Below are 17141 nucleotides of genomic sequence, written 5' to 3'. Positions count from 1 at the left end.
AATACAAGGGAATCTGTCTCTCACTCTCTCTTTTTTTTTTTCAACTGGAACCCTTGGTGGGCAGCAGCTAAAGACGTGGCAACTGCAGGTTTCTGCTCAGGCCACTCTAAACGACTATTTTCTATCTTTTCTGGTTGTGGTGCCTGATTGCTACATGTGACACAGCTCAGAGCAAATTTGCATGTGTTTCAGGTGATTTAAACCTTTTCTAATGCTAAATTCTTCCCTTCCGTACTCAACTGGCTAAGGACAAAAGAAGCCTACCCAGCCTCCACTTTCTATGTTACAGTTTCTATTATTTCTATTAATACAATTTCTATTATTATATGGCTATCACTCTAATGGAACCAGAAGCATGGGAAAGTGTGGTCTTATCAAATTATTGAAACTGCCTTTGCAAAATTATAACTGAGGAAATCATGACAGTCAAAAAAAAATCAGACCTAACTGACTCCGTCTTGCTTGTAACATTTAAGCTGTCTTTGTTTATTCCTGGGCATAGGCTGCACTAACTTTGGCAAGGAATTCAGTTGATGCTTGAACTCTGAAATGAAATTGATAACTGCCCATTTCCCCTGCAAAAAAACCTCTTCCTGTTCTAGGAACCAATTTGCTTTTGCAGGACTGAAAAAAAATAGCTACAAGATTAGAAATTACAGCTTTGAGGTCATGCAGCCTCGGGCTCTAAGAATTTGAACCTCCCCACATTGCTACTGGGGATAACATCACTATTGTAAAACCTAAGATCAGTGCTTGAGATATTTTGCAGACCCTGTACTTAATGCATCAGCTGACACCACCCAGACTGGTAATCTGGCCCAACCAGTTCTGTCATTCCACCCAGGAATAGAAGACAGCAAGAAAAACTCACTTCGTCCCTCTAGAAGATGGAAATCTTCAACCTGACCAATCAGCAGTCCCCTCTTCCCAAGCTCTTACCTGCCAAAGTATCTTTAAAAACACTGATTCCCAAATGTCTGAGGACACTGATTTGAATAATAAGACTCTGGTCTCCTGCACAGCCAGTTCTGAGTAAATTACTTTTTCTCCACTGCAATTTCCCCTGACTTGATAAATTGACTCTGTCTAGGCAGTGGGCAAGCTGAACTCCTTGGACTGTTACCTTATAAAGATGCCAAAAGTTGGGGATTACACCCAGGTATCAAAGGAAAGCTCATAGTAGACCATCACCTCTGAAGTGAATGCAGGCAAAGCAGCACTATTGCCCACCTAAGGTCAGAGACGTCTTATAATCTAAGACTGGACCCCACAGGGAGATGTCCTGGGCATCCTCTGGACCTCAACCCGCCCAAAGAGAAGCCCTTGGCAGAGGTTCTGAGGTCTAGTACAAAGCCCTCCTTAGAATTTTCTCTTGCAGTTACAATACTGTTTGGCCACTATATTCTTTGGAATCTGTAGTTCACTGTTGAATGGGAAAAAGGGATGGCATTACATGTATCCAGGATTGTGTGCTGCTGTTCTAAGCAGGGGGCCTGGTTAACAACTGAGGCTCTCCTTTGATGCTGTTTTGCCCAGTGTTTTTGAGGTCTGGGGAAGTTTGGCCTTTAAATATCAAACAGCCATAAAAACAGCTTTACCTGATAATTTGTTTCACAGCGTTCATTGGATTATCTATTGGGGCAAACAAACTGGTGACCTTGTATTGTGTTAGAAGCAGATTTTTCGGTGCCACAAAATAAAAAAGAATAGCACTTGAATATAAATTTGCACAGCAAGGCAAATTTACTCCTGCAGGAGGGTGCCCCTCGTAGGTCTGGTCGCCAGGAGAGCACACACAAAAAGGAAAGCAGGGTTGTTGTTGTTGTTGTTGTTGTTGTTGTTGTTGTTTTATCACCTCTAACGCAGCTCGTCCCTTTTACTGTGTCCTGCTTCCATTGGCTGAAGTTGGATTGCACAATTTAACCTGAACCTGGTTGGCTAACTTGAAAAGTGCAGGAATGCAGTTATACCGGTGGGAAGGTGGGAAAGTCAGTTTTGGCTGGGAGTAGCCGTTTCCTGATGGGGAGGGCTAACTCACAGAGTGGGTAGCAGATGTGGAATGTAGGCTCTATAGATAAGGACTGGTGGGAAAGTTGTTTACCAGGGCGGGGGGACACAAAAAGTAAAGAAGTATGGCCTTGAAAGCAGGGAACAAAGGATGAGGAAACTTAAACAAGCTGGACCTTTGAAGAAGAATTTCTTACTGTATTCCACATACTGTTATCTCATGGCTAGGATTTTAAGCAATTAGATCTTCATTTGTGTATGTGTATCCATATCTAGATGTGTTTATTTGTATGTACACTTATTGTTATATGTTGTGTCTACCAAATTGGCCTAAGTGAAAGAGTGCCAAGAAATTAAGTAAATAAGTGTAAGCAATTTTCAAGTTCACATGACTCGATATAACTTTCCTAAACAAGCTGGCTTTAAAGTTGTTGGTAAAATAAAAACACAAATGCCTTCAGAATTGGCTGCATACATTTTTGTCTGGATTTTATGTTTGTCTTTGCTAGATAATTTTGAGATGTCAGTGTTTGTTGTAGAAGGTTATAAAACTGTAAAGCCAGCCAAAATAAAATGATCTTTGTTTGCGTGTGTCCCCACCCTTTTTTGAGCAATTAAATGTTGGCTAAACTTTTTGCGTTATTGGCAAAAATACCTAGGTTTTTAACTTTGAGGCTCTTATTTAGGTTTAGGTGAGCACCTGATATTCACAGACTACTAAAAATATGGTTAACAAGGAAATAACTAACTTTAAATGATACTAATATCTCAGTTTACAGAGTAATCTAGATAAACCATTAAAAGTGAAAGAAGTGAGTGTAATGAAGGATAATGTTTTAGGTAAACTTTTTGTGTAAATTAAAATCTTCAAATTATTTTTGATGTTCACTCAATATCTGGGTAATTTCTGACTAAGAACAGGTTATGATAGGGGGAAATATGTTTCTAAAAATTGTGGAATTATTCTGATCTATAAATGTCCATATCTGATAGTTCAGGATTTCTTGCTTTTTAAGGTTTCACTAAAGCTTTAGGTTAGTAAGGATAAGAATTCTAGTTAACACAGCCGGGCACGGTGGCTCACACCTGTAATCGCAGCACTTTGGGAGGCCAAGGTGGATGGATCACCTGAGGTCAGGAGTTTGAGACCAGCCTGGCCAACATGGCAAAACCCCATCTCTACTAAAAATACAAAATTTGGCCAGGTGTGGTGGCAGGCACTTGTAATCCCAGCTACTCAGGAGGCTGAGGCTAGAGAATTGCTTGAAACTAGGAGGCAGAGGTTGCAGTGAGCTGAGATTGCACCACTGCACTCCAGCCTGGGTGACAAGAGGAAAACTGTCTCAAAAAGAAAAGGAAAGAAAAAAAAAATTCTAGTTAACACATAATTCTGTATACAAAATGTGCCAACAAGCATTATGTTATTAGTGAGAAAAATAATAATTTTGTCTAACTCAGAAGTTATCTAAATATTAGTTCAAATTACAGATTTTAAAATGTTATTTATGAAACAATGTAGTAAGGAACCACTAAGTAGAGGAGAAAGATATGGAAAAAGTTTAGATAATAAAATATTCTTTAGGACCTGATACAGAATTGGAGACATTTAGCTAATAACATTTTCATAAAGCTCTCAATCCTGATTAAAGCAAAATAAGAAGTATCATATCTACAGTTTGGCAATTCTTTTTTTTAATGTAGTTAAGCATGAAGCCAAATTTAGTGTGGAGCCAAATTTTACATCTGTGCTTGCAATGCTTCATACTGTTCACTGTTTTGCATGGGTTGTGCTGGTACTGGAATACTTATTGGTCATGTGCCTAAAGTAAACTTTTTTGTTTTGAAATGGAGTCTTTCTCTGTTGCCTAGGCTGGAGTGCAGTGGCTTGATCTCAGCTCACTGCAACCTCTGCCTCCCAGGTTCAAGTGATTCTCCTGCTTCAGCCTGCTGAGTAGCCAGGATTGCAGGTGTGTGCCACCATGCCTGGCTACCTGTAGTATTTTTAGTAGAGATGGGTTTTCACCATGTTGGCTAGTCTGATCTTGAACTCCTGACCTCAAAGGATTTGCCTGCTCTAGCTTCCCACAGTCCAGTGATTACAGGCACAAGCCACCACGTCTGGCCCAAAGTGAACTTCTTGATTGCACAGAATGTATTATGATATTGGTAAACTTAAGGATATTGAATTGTGAATCAGGAATAAAATACTCATTATGTGGGTTTTTTGGGGCCCTGGGTAACACTGTATCCTTTAGGGTAAATTGAGTTAGAAAAAGTTAGGGTTGATTTCCTGTTTATTTGTTTAGCTTCTAATTTTCATTTGTTCGCTGTTTATTCTCCTCTGGCTTTGCTTGGGGATGCATATATAAACCCATAATTTTTTAAAAAAGTTTCTAGTAGAAGGCTTTTATTTGGTTTTGTGAATGGTTATTTTGTTTCCTATGCATTTCTAGCAAGTCATCATTTGTTCCATTTATCTAGAATTCCTAGGCTACTTTTTTCAGGCCCTCAGAAATTAATGGAGCACACAAGCTTTTCAACTTTAAACTAACATTTTTGGATTTTAGGCTTCCTGATACTTTAAGTGTGTTAAGAATACACTCATAAGTAGAATTTTAGTCATATTTCTTTCTCTGCCTGATTTCTCCAAAATTTATAAACTATTTGTGAATATTCTTAATTCATGGCAAGGTGTTTACAGTTAAGCAGAGTTGGTAGGGCTGTTAGGGAGATAACCCAGAAACGTGGCATGCTGGGAAAAGGGTAAGAATTTCTTACCAGTCAGACTCTGGCCCTCTCTCTCTGTGAAAACTCGTTAAATAAATACTAAAAGTCACCGCTTATCTCCTCTGTAAAGTTTTAATTAATACAAAAAAATCCCAAGGCTGGTCTTAAGCTGTAGTGAATCTGATGTGCTTTGTGTGTCTGTCTTTCCATATTGGTCTATCATAAAAAGGGGTACCTTAGAATAAAATGTGTGCCTAGGACCCTGTAGGTCCACTATTCAAGATGGCCCAGCAGACTGGTCAGTCATGTCCTGGGAGCTTGACCTTGTAATCATGTGGCCATGCTTTCTGTTTTCAGAGTGGTGGCCCAGGTTTAGGGTCTTGCTTAGGGAATTAGTCCTTTATCTTCTGTCTGTATGTGTGTTTATATGTGTTGTGTGTGTAATATAAAGGAGCTTTAATTAATTGTTTTAATAATAATAAGCTTAAATCAAATATTTTGTCAAGAAAGTAAAAAGTGTTGTAAGAGCTACAGAAAGAGGAAAGCAACATGAAACATGTCTGTCAGTTAAAGACAGGTTTTCTTTAGTTAAAACCTGAGACGCACCCCTGGCCAATTTCAGTCAGGAGCCCTTTCTCTTACAGACTAAGGGTGTATATTGGTTTCAGGGTGAGGGAACTTAGAAGCTTGGAATGTTTATGTGTGTGGAGAAGTTTATGGCAGGGTTGGAATCTCTCTGGGAGGAGGGGAGGTTATCTTGGGGCAGACATCTTACCGGCCCGGAGGGGGTTAAATCGAGGCTGGCATCTTCCCAGCTGGAGGAGGCTTATCTTGGGTCTAGCATGTCTCTGGTCAGAGAAGAGTTTGGAATGTTTCTGGTTGGAGATATTATTTGTGGTTTATGGTTATGCTGACCTTAGCCATTAGACTGATGCCCTTTGGATTTAGGTGGTTTTTTATTAAAGTGAACTTTAGAATTAGGAGCTTGTCCAAGGTGGTGATGCTCCTGCTCTGTTAAGTGTAACATGCCTTTTATTTAGATCATGTGACTTGAGATATCCTTGGAAAATAAAAAACAGTTTTAAAGTTTACTGGTAAAATATAAATGTCTTCGAAATGTAAACATGTAGTCTAAATTATGTTGTTTTGAAAATTGTTTAACTTGCCTGCTGTACAGCTAGGTAAGGCCTAGGGTCATATGGAGTTGGCCACACACCCAGCTACGCTAGAAATAGCCTTAGCACCTAGGACATAATCAATATAATTTACGAGGGTTGACATTAAAATTAAAATTGCTAAAAGTCACCCTTATAACATGTAATTCAGACTACTAGAAACAGTTTTACATGCAAGGTATGTAAGAACAATAGAATGTGTTTTTGGTAAAAGATTATAAGAAGTCATGAGAATGTAAATTTTTTAAACCTTTAGCATATTTAATAGACTTCCCAAAATAAAATTTCAGCTTTAAAATTGTCTTTTATTCTTTGACATGTTTAGTTACATGGCAAGCATTGCCAAAATAAAAAAAAAATTAGTCAGCTTTAGATTATATTATAGTGAATAATATTAATAGATGTTCCAAAATTATATGAGATTCCTAAAATTCTAATATGTCTGAGTATATGCTATCAATTACAATTATGATTATTATGTTAACTTATTGTAGACAAAAGAAATAACCAAATTTCCTTGTTCTAACCCAAGTAGAACAAAACAATTAATTAAATACCAAGAAAATATCTTATCAAGTTTCCATGTTAAGCCAGCTGCTACTGAAATTGTTTAGATGTACAATTTCAATGGACTCCATGGTCTAAGTCAAATTACCTATACTAACTCCAATTATCAATGCTATGCACCTAATTTGAAGAAGCAGCTGGTATTCAAGAGGATATAAGTCTAAAGTTAAGTAAGCATGGACTTATGGAGAACCAGAGAGGCCACTTTGTCCTTCCTGAGTTTTTAAAGTTTTTACTATTAAAAGATATGTATACCATGACTCATGATGGAAAATATAAAATGATCCAAATTGAGTATATTCATGTGATGACTTTTATATTACTAAAACAGTTTATAACCAATGTTTGGTTCCATATTCCTGGAAAACAATCAAAGCTTCAGGTACATTTGGTCACCTGATGGGCCATTTAAAAATTTTATAAAGGGATTTAATTCAAATGTTTTCTTTTTTGCAGGGGACAGAGTCTCAGTCTTTTCACCCAGGCTGGAGTGCAATGGTGCAATCTGAGTTCACTGAAACCTCCGTCTCCTGGGTTCCAGCAATTCTTCTGCCTCGGCCTCCCACATAGCTGGGATTGTAGGCACATGCCACCATAGCTGGTTAATTCTTGTATTTTCAGTAGAGATGGTGTTTCACCATGTTGGCCAGGCTAGTCTCGAACTCCTGACCTAAAGTGATTCATCTGCCTCGGCCTCCCAAAGTGCTGGGATTACAGGCATGAGCCATCACACCCAGCCTCAAATGTTATTTTCAATGCATGTTTTCTTGTTGTATAAAAGCTGTCCCATGCAAAAGGGCTGACATTATTACACTAAGTTATTATTTAGTGTATTTTCACCAGGTGAAGAAAGCATTTTATGGTTCACTGAGGACAACCTTTTCACAACACAGAACCCTAAGATTGAATCTTCTGAGAACATCAGACAAAGATTGTCCTTGCCATCCACATTGCAGTAAAGCTTTGGAAACTTGAACTTTGGATTCATCATCTCACAACAGAGAAGGACCCCTCCACACTCTTGAAACAGTACTCTCATATGAACTGTTAAGGTAAAACTAACCAGGGAAGTTTTTCCCAAGAAGATGGCATCCTTGATGTGAACAGCTTTTCCTAAGTTCACAGATTAAGACTTCTACTGTCATGAGACTCTTATCTTTTAATATTTTTTCTTGCTTATGCCTCCATGAACAATAGAAGTGGAAAAGTGGTCTGATATGTGCACTTACAAGGTATACTTTCATTTGTGAAGGAGTTTGCAGTCAGCCTTGTATATGGATAACACACTTCGATAAAATATGAAGGCCTAATGTAAGTGAAAAGCTTTAGTGGTACATACATTGCCTCAAAATCAGAAACAGAACATTGGTTCACTCATCTTAAACCACATCATGGGTTAAAGAAAAAAACATTGCAAGGAAGACTTCACTCTTCTAGAAGGGCATGATTTGGTAAGTCCTTTTTCCATAGTTTAGAGTTAAAAAAAAAAGGAATGTATCCCTCATAATAGGCTCTATAGCAGATTTTACTGTAAAGACTATAGATACACAACAGACTAAATTCTCTTGTGAAAGTTATGATAGAATTGGCTGAACAGAGAAGTATCTGTGCAGTTGCTGACACTTGTGGCCTATGGAGAAATACACCAAATGAAGATTATAGAGATTCAGTGGTAGGGGACTGATAAAGAGATTGCTTAGTTAATAAATAGACTCTATCCAGTGCATTCTTTGATCTATTCAATTTTAGGGGTTTGGTTTATGAGGACTCTGGGTAAAGAGCATCCTCCAAACTCTTGGTATTATCCTCCCAATAGTCAAAATAATAGTATCCCTAGTGTGCTGTATTCTCTCAAAGGTTTTAAGTGCTTTCTGGCAGCCATCTCTAGAATGTCAAATGGTCACTTTTCAAGTGGAATGACAAGAGCTGAAAGAAATATGCAACCCTGAGGATAATGTAACTTATGAATGATGTGCTGAGACCAGTAACCCAAAATGATGGTAACTGAGAGTGGAGTTTTGGCCACACTCTCACCTAAGTGAGAACCTGACCAAATGAGGATTTTTTAAAAACAAAGTTATGGAAAGCTATTGTTTTGGATTGAACTTATGCACTAGAATTCAACAGACCAAACAAAACTAAAATGGAATCACTCATGCTAAGGCTTTAAGGAAACACATAGATCCTAGGACAAACCACAGACCAGGTTTTGTTTTTCTCCTGCAAATCTCTATAACAACCATTTTTAATAGTACAGATATCCACCCCTAAAGCTTCCATTAAATCTTTTAACCAAGTTCATTTCCTCTCACCTGGAGACCATTAAACTTCAGAAGGTCATGCAACAAGGGTTTCAGCCAGTTCCAGGTCAAGACAACACCCCTGCCTATCAGGGAGCTACCCTGCCTCCACTAGACAGAGCAGGGCAAGAGTTCCATGATGCCCAGTAGGTAAGGACTATACCCCAAGCCAGCATGAAGTAGTTACAAAAAAAAAAAAAAAAGACCATTGGTCTCACTGCCTCCCGTAATGATTTATGGGGATCACATCTCTCAGGAAGAAATGAGGCAGAAAAACAGGGTCTAGAGGCAGGAAACATCAAACCAATTCACACTGACTTCCTAGAACTAAATCAAATGGAAACACTTTTGCTATCACAGGAAATATACTCTACCATTTACATAGGGCGTACAATGAGTAGATGACTTTGTAACTTTATTTCATCATTTTCATTTACATAGGGTGTATACCAAGTAAGCAATAGAAACCTGTAGAGGGTACTTAAACCACAGAAAATTTTGTAATGGGGTTCTTGAGCCCCTATGCCTGTGCCCACTCTCACCCTGTGAACTGTACTTTTGTTTTCAATAAATATCTGCTTTTGTTGCTCGATTCTTTCTGTACTTTCTTTTTGTGTTTTCACCGGTTCTTTGTTCTAAATGCCAAGAACTCGGACACCCTCCACCAGTAACACTTAGACCCAGGCCACCATCTGATTTTGGCCTGACAGGTGTTTTGCCACCTTTGGCACCATCAGGCACTGCCAAGGCCCCACAACTGTGCCCCCTACCAGCAGAGGAGGTAGACCTCTGGCCTAAAGGGTACTGGTTGGGACCCTGCTGCTTGATGAAGCAGGTAAAAGTGCCCTAGGGGGGTTAAAGTGATGGTGGCTGGCAGGGTTGGGGTTGGGCCTTACCCTGGCCCTGATGGATCCCTGGAGGTCAGGGAAGTGGTTAGCAGGTGAGCCAGAGGCTGACAGCATGGTAGTACTCTAGAAGCAGACCCTGAACAATAACAGGCTTGGAAGAGTTCTGCAGTGGTGGTGGCTGCTACTGTTGATGCAAAGTGGTCGTGAGATTGGAAGCTTGGAGCTGTCCTAGCCTGAGCTGGAACCGTAAGGCTATAGTTGTAATTGAGACCCATGCTGGATGAGAAGGAGCAGAAATCATTCAGGCTGTCATGACACCATCTCCTCTGTGTTTATGGAAGCCACCACAGCCACTACTGTGAGTATGGAAACACAGCGACATGTCTGTGGTCAAGGAGTTGTTGAGGCAGAAGTGAAGAAGATGCTCAGGGAATGTGGAGGTCACTTTGCTTCACAAAAACTGGTGAATGACACTGGTCAGTGTCTCTTTGTTCTAAGTACAGCTGTTCCTGCTTGCTTTTGGTTTTTGTTTACATGACATACAATTTTCTCATTTTAAACTTTCAGTCTGGCTGCTGTCAAACTCCTGAGCTCAAGTTACCCTGCCTTGGTATCCCAAAGTGTTGAGATCACAGGTATAAGCCACCATGCCTGGACTTTCTTTGCTTTTTGAAGTTTCTAATGTTTTTATATTGACAAGTGTGCATCAAGAGTAACAGTCACTACTTCCAATTTTTGAATTTATTCTTTTGCATAGAGAATTTTCCCTAAAGATGTTTCTATTATGTTGGTTGGGTAGGGTCCTTTGGCTTTGTGCTGGGTACACACACTTTGCATGGTTTCTTTGACTATAAATTGCATTATTTTAATCTGTGGTTTGTGTGATGTGTCAGGTGCAGTTATTAGTTAAGTCTGTGGTGATATTTTTCTGGGCACTGGAATGCCAGAAAAACTGTATTTAGGTTTTGGTAGTCTCAGTGGTTTGCTAATCTCTAACCTTGTGCCCCAGGAGGGTGTATGCCTGCACCAATTCTTGGGTCTCTGGGTGGCTTCTGTGGATGCCAGAAGCAGAGGACAGGGCAAGTGAATGGGCTATTGACCCCTAGGGTGGCTGGCAGGGTATTGTTAATAGGACTAGCACTGGTTAGATGCTCTTCTGGGCCCTAAGCACTCTGCATTTGTGTTGGCAGTGGTTGCAATGGGCTGTGTGGGTCAGTAGGTGGCACTTGCAGGTAGGAGCCTGCTGAGGTGATAATAGAAGTGTGTTTAGGCCCAAAGTCAGACCTCTAGGAGGAGTACTTTGGTGACCCAGCTGGTGGACTGGGTGCAACACCCAGGACCCTGGACAATGCCTTCTGTCTGAGAGGAGTCAGCAAAGCCTGGTGGAGCTGGGGTGAGTGGGTTTTTTGCTCAGGTGCTCCAATGTGGAGTGTATTTACTAGCCATGATGGGAAGGGTGGGGCAGGCCTCTGGTGTAATGCTTGTGTAGGAGGCAGCCACCTCCCCACTGAGGTCCTGCTACGGGGAATGTGAGACAGCCTCAGAGGCCACAGCCTTGCCCAGCAGGGGAGGGACTCACATCATTCAAATCCTCCAGTCCTAGAGTGTCTTACCCCTCAGACCCATCTGTCACAGCTGACCTCACTGACCCATCAGGGTCAGATTCGGCAATTTGAGCCTATCCTACATCAGCCCCAAACCATGGAAGTTCCTGCCCAGCCCCAAGCCTCTGTAGCCATGAATGGAAGGGGTAGGGCAGGTTTTAATGCTTGTGTGGGAGACAGCCACCTTACTATTGAGGTCCTGCCACAGGGAATGTGGGGCAGGACCCCATATGTGGGGCAATTCTGTGTCTCAGTACTGTCACTGGTAGCCCACAGCACACTCGCTTTCTAGTCTTGGTTGTGGGAGAAAACTCCCTCCCCATGATCAAGTGCCAAAAGCAACAACCTGAGTTTCCCTAACGTGTAGGTCCAGCATAGTACAATGCACAGTCTGTTAAAATGACAGATAAAAAATGGCACCTTGCTGTAGCTGCTTAGGTCTCAGAAAGGGTCGGGGGATCCAGGGTGAGCTCCCTTCCCGGGACAGTTTCTTTTCACAGTCTTCTTGCCACTCCCCAAATTATATTCAGGGTTTGAGAGGGTCAAGGTGCTCTCCAGTAGCCTGAATTGTATAATTTCTCAGTGGTAAAATGAACCACAAAACGTGGTGGCTCACGCCTGTAAACCCAGCACTCTGGCAGGCCGCGGCGGGCGGATCACCTGAGGTCAGGAGTTCCAGACTAGCCTGGCCAACATGGCAAAACCCCATCTCTACTAAAAATACAAAACTGGCATGACACGGTGGCTCACCTGTAATCCCAGCAATTCGAGAGGCCGAGGCGGGCGGATCACGAAGTCAGGAAATCGAGACCATCCTCGGTAACACGGTGAAACCCCGTTTCTACTAAAAAAGAAAAAGAAAGAAAAAAGATACAAAAAATTAGCCGGATATGGTGGCGGGTGCCTGTAGTCCCAGCTACTCCAGAGTCTGAGGCAGAAGAATGGCGTGAAGGCGTGAACCCGGGAGGCGGAGCTTGCAGTGAGCCGAGATCACACCACTGCACTCCAGCCCGGGCGAGGGAGCGAGACTCCGTCTCAAAAACAAAAAAAATAGCCGGGCATGGTGGCAGGCGCCTGTAATCCCAGGCTGAGGCAGGAGAATCGCTTGAACCCGGGAGGTGGAGGTTGCAGTGAGCCTAGCACTACAGCCTGGGGGAAAAGAGCGAGACTTCGTCTCAAAACAAACAAAAACACCGTTCTAGCTCACCCTCCCTCCACATTAGGAAGTCACTCCCAGGTCTCAGCCAGTTCAAGCCAAGCAGGCTGCCTCTTTCCTCCCCTTCCTAGTTTCTGGTTTTTTCTATTGTTTTTCTGTTAAATTCATGTATACTGTCTTGGATAATGTATTTAAAGTTTGATTATCTACACATGATTTTTGTTCTCTTAAGTGGATAATGTATGCTTGTAATGCCTTTAGTCAGTCATCTGTGCATATTTCCACCTCACAACCCTCTTGCCTAGAACCTTTTTCTCTTGTCCTTGGTGACTTTCAGGTTTCAATCCTACTTCACTGTCTCGCCTATCTTGTTCTTTGTCTTACTCACTGCTGAAACTCCAAATATTGTGCCTGTTAGAATTTTAAATAATAGAAATTTCTGAAGAAAATTTCACAGCAGTAAATTTGGAAACATTTCTACATTCCAATAGAAGTAGATTTAATGTAAAAACATTTATACAATGTAAAAATTTTAAACATGGAAAAGAAATAAGGTATGACTTTTAAAAATAGTGAGTTTTTTTATACTAATGAAAATTTTACCAAAAGAAAATTATAGTCATTAAATTTAAGAAATTATATGGAGAAATTATAAATAAGGTTTGAATTAAGAAAAGGTTAATTAACTAAAAAATAAGTTTGAGAATAATAGTAGACTCTATGCCTTTTGCAAAAATAAATCACAAGAATTATTAATGTAAAATTAAAATGGAAAATTATAGAAAGAGGTCTATGTAACTTCAGGTTTCATGATGATATTTTATTTTTATTTATTTATTTAACAATATTTGTTATTTATTTCACAAACAGGTCTGGCTAATTCAGGCTCATTGACTTGATTCAGTGTTTTGTGGGGACATGAGATATGTGGAAATTATGTTATTCCAAAGGGTATCTGCTCTCTTGGCCGGCAGTAGCCTGCATGGCTAGGGGCCCAGTCAGAGGTTACAAGAGCCCTCAGTAGGTGTGTCATGGGTGCTGGGGACTACAGTGGATCACAAATTATGATAATTGTTAATAATTAAAGAGACTAAATATTCAATAAAAAGTACTATTTTGTAACTTTATTTGTAAATTTAAAACTATTTTAAAATAAAAGGTTAATTTAGAAATAATACATATGTAGTATTTACAAGTATGCAGCTCAGAAAGAAAAAATGAAATTATGAAAGCATAGTAAGAGAATGAAAGGTAGAAAATATGATATACATTAACAGTAGTTATATTTAATAGAAAAGGAAAATAGAATTGGAGAGAGGTTGCATTTGAAAGGATAATTTCTCAGAATTTGGCAGAATGAATAAAGAATATTTTTCTCAGATTTAGGAAAAAAGCTTTTCACAATTCCCCTATTATACTGAAATTGCAGTCAGCAAAGAGAAACGGGATAACTCCAGCTGGGTTAAAAAAGTCAGTTTATCCGCAAAGCAATACCATTATACTTAACAAGAGATTTCTCAATATTAATCGTTTAAAAGTAGAAGATATTCAAATATCTTCAAGGAGTTGAGAGAAAATAAGGAATGAGCATATGTCTATATATTGTTAAGCTTTCATTCTAAATTGAGGCTTTGGGAAAAAAAAAGATACTTCATAGCTTGAAAAAAATTTAACACTAATCAAAATTTACTGAGAGAACTTGTAAAATACTTAATAACGGAGAAAGTTAAGCCCAGCAACATTTGAGATGCAAAGGGAAAGGTAAGAAGACAAAATTAATGTATATACAAATCTAAATAAATTTTGTTATGTAAAAACATAATAATATAAATTAACTCAAATGTTTCAAAAGTTTAAATGTAGGAATTAAAACTATTTTTAAAAAACTTTTAGAATAAAACATCAGGTAAAATCTTCATGACCATCAATTTGTCAGTGCCTTCTTGGATATGACACCAAAAAGAGAGGCATCAAACAAAAATGAATAGCTAAATTGGACTTTATCAAAATTGATATTGCAACAAAGAACACTATCAAGAGAGTGAAAAGATAGTCTGTAAATGAAAGAAAACATTTACAAGTTTTATATCTGGTAACAAATTAATACCTACCATATATAAAGAACTGCTACAATTAAACAACAATCCAATTTTTAAAAAGGGCAAAAAACTTGAATAGACACTTTTTCAAAGAAGACATATAAATGCCCAATAAGCATGTGAAAATGTGCTCAACATCATTTATCAAGAAAATGCAAATCAAAGCCACAATCATCACATATTTAAATGACTATAATAAAAACTAAACAAAACAGGAAGTAACAAGTGTTGACCAGAATGTGGAATAATTGGATCACACACATTGCTGATGGGAACGTAAAAGACTGCAGGAACCAACTTGTTCAGTTTGAAGGTTTTTCAATAAGTTAAACATAAAATGACCACATAATCCAGCTCTTACACTTGTAGATATAAACCCCAAATAATTAAAAGCAAGAACTCAAACACATTCTTGTACACTGAGCAGCATTATTCAAGATAGAAGGTGAAGACAATCAAAATGTTCAACAACAGATGAATGGATAAACAACAAAATGTGGTCTATACATGCAGTAAGATATAATTCAACCTTAAAAAATGAAATTCTGATACATATTTCAAAGTGTGTCAACCTAGAAAAAATTTTGCTAAGAGAAGTAACCCAGACACAAAATATTGTATGATTCTATGTATGTAACATATGTATACAGAATAGGCAAATTCAGAGTGACAGGCATAGAGTTTACCAGGGGATTGGGCAGAGTTATGAGGAGCTACTGGTTTATAGGTACAGAGTTTGAGATGATGAAAAAGTTCAAGAAAATGGAGTGTTTGTACTATACCATGTATAAACAATGCCACTGAATTTAACACTTAAAAATGGTTAAAATGGTAAAAATTTATGTTATATATAATTTACAATAATAAACAATTACCAAAATCGGCTGAGCATGGTGGCTTACACCTGTAATCCCAACAGTTTGGGAGGCTGAGATGGGCAGATCACTTGAGGTCAGGAGTTCAAGACCAGCCTGGCCAAAATGGTAAAACCTGTCTCTACTAAAAATATAAAAATTAGCCAGGCATGGTGGCACATGCCTGTAATCACAGCTTCTTGGGAGGCTGAGGCAGGAGAACCCCTTGAACCAGGGAGGCAGAGGTTGCAGTGAGTCAAGACTGTGATACCGCACTCCAGCCTGGGCAACAAGACTGAGACTCTGTCTCAAAAAAAAAAAAAAATTACTAAAACCAATAAAAAACTTGTTTCACAAAGAAAAGTATACTGATAGTTATAATGAAGTTGAAACATATTAAGTAAAGTGTACAAAATATTAAGTAACAGCAACATAAAAAGTAAGAGAAGGTACTGAAGTTAGAACATCCTAAGTCTCTCATAATTTGGTTATAATGTAGAGATATTTATTTGTTTTACACTTTGCTAAGTTTTGTGTTGTTACTAAACTTTTTATTATTATTATTATACTTTACATTCTAGGGTACATGTGCACAATGTGCAGGTTTGCTGCATATATATACATGTGCCATGTTGGTTTGCTGCACCCATTAACTCATCATTTACATTAGGTATTTCTCCTAATGCTATCCCTCCCCCATCGCCCTACCCCACAACAAGCCCCAGTGTGTGATGTTCCCCACCCTGTGTCCAAATGTTCTCATTGTTCAATTCCTACCTATGAGTGAGAGAACATGCGGTGTTTAGTTTTCTGTCCTTGGAGTAGTTTGTTGAGAATTATGGTTTCCAGCTTCATCCATGACCCTGCAAAGGACATGAACTCATCCTTTTTTAGGGCTGCATAGTATTCCATGGTATATATGTGCCACATTTTCTTAATCCAGTCTACCATTGATGGACATTTGGGTTGGTTCCAAGTCTTTGCTATTGTGAATAGGGCCGCAGTAAACATGTGTGTGCATGTGTCTTTATAGTACCATGATTTATAATCATTTGAGTATATACCCAGTAATGGGACTGCTGGGTCAAATGGTATTTCTAGTTCTAGGTCCTTGAGGAATTGCCACACTGTCTTCCATAATGGTTGAACTAGTTTACACTCCCACCAACACTGTAAAAGTGTTCCTGTTTCTCCACATCCTCTCCAGCACCTGTTGTTTCCTGACTTTTTAATGATCGCCATTCTAACTGGTGTGAGATGGTATCTCATTGTGGTTTTGATTTGCATTCTCTGATGACCAGTGATGATGAGCATTTTTTCATGTGTCTCTTGGCTGCGTAACAGTCTTCTTTTGAAAAGTGTGTGTTCATATCCTTTGCCCACTTTTTGATGGGGTTGTTTGATTTTTCTTGTAAATTTGTTTAAATTCTTTGTAGATTCTGGATATTAGCCCTTTGTCAGATGGTTAGATTGCAAAAATTTTCTCCCATTCTGTAAGTTGCCTGTTCACTCTGATGGTAGTTTCTTTGCTGTGCAGAAGATCTTTAGTTTAATTAGGTCTCATTTGCCTTATTTTGGCTTTTGTTGCCATTGCTTTTGGTGTTTTAGTCATGAAGTCCTTGCCCATGCCTATGTCCTGAACGGTATTGTCTAGGCTTTCTTCTAGAGTTTTTATGGTTTTAGGTCTAACATTTAAGTCTTTAATCTATCTTGGATTAATTTTTTATAAGATATGAGGACGGGATCCAGTTTCAGCTTTCTACATATGGCTAGCCAGTTTTCCCAGCACCATTTATTAAATAGG

The sequence above is a fragment of the Homo sapiens genome, chromosome Y (assembly GCF_000001405.40).
Source record: "Homo sapiens chromosome Y, GRCh38.p14 Primary Assembly".
In the NCBI taxonomy this organism is placed as follows: domain Eukaryota; kingdom Metazoa; phylum Chordata; class Mammalia; order Primates; family Hominidae; genus Homo; species Homo sapiens.
The sequence above is the reverse complement of the archived record's forward strand: the minus strand, read 5'-3'. Positions refer to the sequence as shown.